Source organism: Homo sapiens, chromosome 21 (genome assembly GCF_000001405.40).
Source record: "Homo sapiens chromosome 21, GRCh38.p14 Primary Assembly".
Lineage (NCBI taxonomy): Eukaryota > Metazoa > Chordata > Mammalia > Primates > Hominidae > Homo > Homo sapiens.
In genome coordinates, this window is record NC_000021.9 from 13762215 (window position 1) to 13764794 (window position 2580).

A 2580-nucleotide genomic window follows, 5' to 3' on the forward strand; every position below is an offset into this window, starting at 1 on the left:
AGGACACCCTAAGATGGCGGCGAGGGAGACGGTGAAGGTTGGCTCCCGCCTGTCTGGGCTCTGATCCTCTGTCTCCCCCTCCCCCTGCGGCCGGCTCATGGCCTGGCGGAGGCCCGAACCAAAGACCTCCGCACCGCCGTGTACAACGCCGCCCGTGACGGCAAGGGGGCAGCTGCTCCAGAAGCTGCTCAGCAGCCGGAGCCGGGAGGAACTGGACGAGCTGACTGGCTAGGTGGCCGGCGGGGGGACGCCGCTGCTCATCGCCGCCTGCTACGGCCACCTGGACGTGGTGGAGTACCTGGTGGACCCGTGCGGCGCGAGCGTGGAGGCCGGTGGCTCGGTGCACTTCGATGGCGAGACCATGGAGGGTGCGCCGCCGCTGTGGGCGCGGACCACCTGGACGTGGTGCGGAGCCTGCTGCGCCGCGGGGCCTCGGTGAACTGCACCACGCGCACCAACTCCACGCCCCTCCGCGCCGCCTGCTTCGAGGGCCTCCTGGAGGTGGTGCGCTACCTGGTCGGCGAGCACCAGGCCAACCTGGAGGTGGCCAACCGGCACGGCCACATGTGCCTCATGATCTCGTGCTACAAGGGCCACCGTGAGATCGCCCGCTACCTGCTGGAGCAGGGCGCCCAGGTGAACTGGCGCAGCGCCAAGGGCAACACGGCCCTGCACAACTGTGCCGAGACCAGCAGCCTGGAGATCCTGCAGCTGCTGCTGGGGTGCAAGGCCAGCATGGAACGTGATAGCTACGGCATGACCCCGTTGCTCCCGGCCAGCGTGACGGGCCACACCAACATCGTGGAGTACCTCATCCAGGAGCAGCCCGGCCAGGAGCAGCTCATAGGGGTAGAGGCTCAGCTTAGGCTGCCCCAAGAAGGCTCCTCCACCAGCCAGGGGTGTGCGCAGCCTCAGGGGGCTCCGTGCTGCATCTTCTCCCCTGAGGTACTGAACGGGGAATCTTACCAAAGCTGCTGTCCCACCAGCCGGGAAGCTGCCATGGAAGCCTTGGAATTGCTGGGATCTACCTATGTGGATAAGAAACGAGATCTGCTTGGGGCCCTTAAACACTGGAGGCGGGCCATGGAGCTGCGTCACCAGGGGGGTGAGTACCTGCCCAAACTGGAGCCCCCACAGCTGGTCCTGGCCTATGACTATTCCAGGGAGGTCAACACCACCGAGGAGCTGGAGGCGCTGATCACCGACGCCGATGAGATGCGTATGCAGGCCTTGTTGATCCGGGAGCGCATCCTCAGTCCCTCGCACCCCGACACTTCCTATTGTATCCGTTACAGGGGCGCAGTGTACGCCGACTCGGGGAATATCGAGTGCTACATCCGCTTGTGGAAGTACGCCCTGGACATGCAACAGAGCAACCTGGAGCCTCTGAGCCCCATGAGCGCCAGCAGCTTCCTCTCCTTCGCCGAACTCTTCTCCTACGTGCTGCAGGACCCGGCTGCCAAAGGCAGCCTGGGCACCCAGATCGGCTTTGCAGACCTCATGGGGGTCCTCACCAAAGGGGTCCGGGAAGTGGAATGGGCCCTGCAGCTGCTCAGGGAGCCTAGAGACTCGGCCCAGTTCAACAAGGCGCTGGCCATCATCCTCCACCTGCTCTACCTGCTGGAGAAAGTGGAGTGCACCCCCAGCCAGGAGCACCTGAAGCACCAGACCATCTATCGCCTGCTCAAGTGCGCACCCAGGGGCAAGAACGGCTTCACGCCTCTGCACATGGCTGTGGACAAGGACACCACAAACGTGGGCCGCTACCCCGTGGGCAGATTCCCCTCGTTGCACGTGGTCAAAGTGCTGTTCGACTGCGGGGCCGACCGGGACAGCAGGGATTTTGACAACAACACCCCGCTACACATAGCAGCCCAGAACAACTGCCCGGCCATCGTGAATGCCCTGACTGAAGCAGGGGCCCACATGGACGCCACCAACGCCTTCAAGAAGACGGCCTACGAGCTGCTGGAAGAGAAGCTGCTGGCCAGGGGTACCATGCAGCCCTTCAACTACGTGACGCTGCAGTGCCTTGCAGCCCAGGCCCTGGATAAGAACAAGATCCCTTACAAGGGCTTCATCCCGGAAGATCTGGAGGCATTCATCGAACTGCACTGACCTGCCCAGAACATCTGCACCCTCACCTCTCCCCTCTCCTGCTGAGACGGGGGAAATCAGGCTGGGGTATAGCAGATGCTCGTTCTTGCCTCCTTCAGGCACCAATCAGGAGAAGGGTTCTGCCTCCCATCCCCTTTACCTGAAGACAGGGTCTGAGGTGTTAGCGAGCCTTTGGTGCTAGAAGCCTTCAGGGTCACATGCCAAGAGGACAGTCTTTCTCCGGGAAGCCCACTGACTCAGAAATTCTGAGTTAGGAAAAGACACAAGACCTTCCCCACATCCTGTCTGCCTGGGTTACGGAGGCCTTTGCCTTGTTACCTAGAGGCGGAGGGACTGAAGCCATTGCGTTCCTTCCTTGCTAGAAACACAGGAAGAAGTTGAGGACGGTCTGCCTTCCCTTGTCCTTTTACATGGCCAGGTAACTCCAGCTGCTGAATACAGTGTTAGGACTGGGGGCTCCCG

General features: G+C 62.2%; 1 pseudogene; it reads left to right on the forward strand.

The window, feature by feature from the left end:
- Positions 1 to 2314, forward strand: FEM1AP1 (fem-1 homolog A pseudogene 1; annotated as a pseudogene).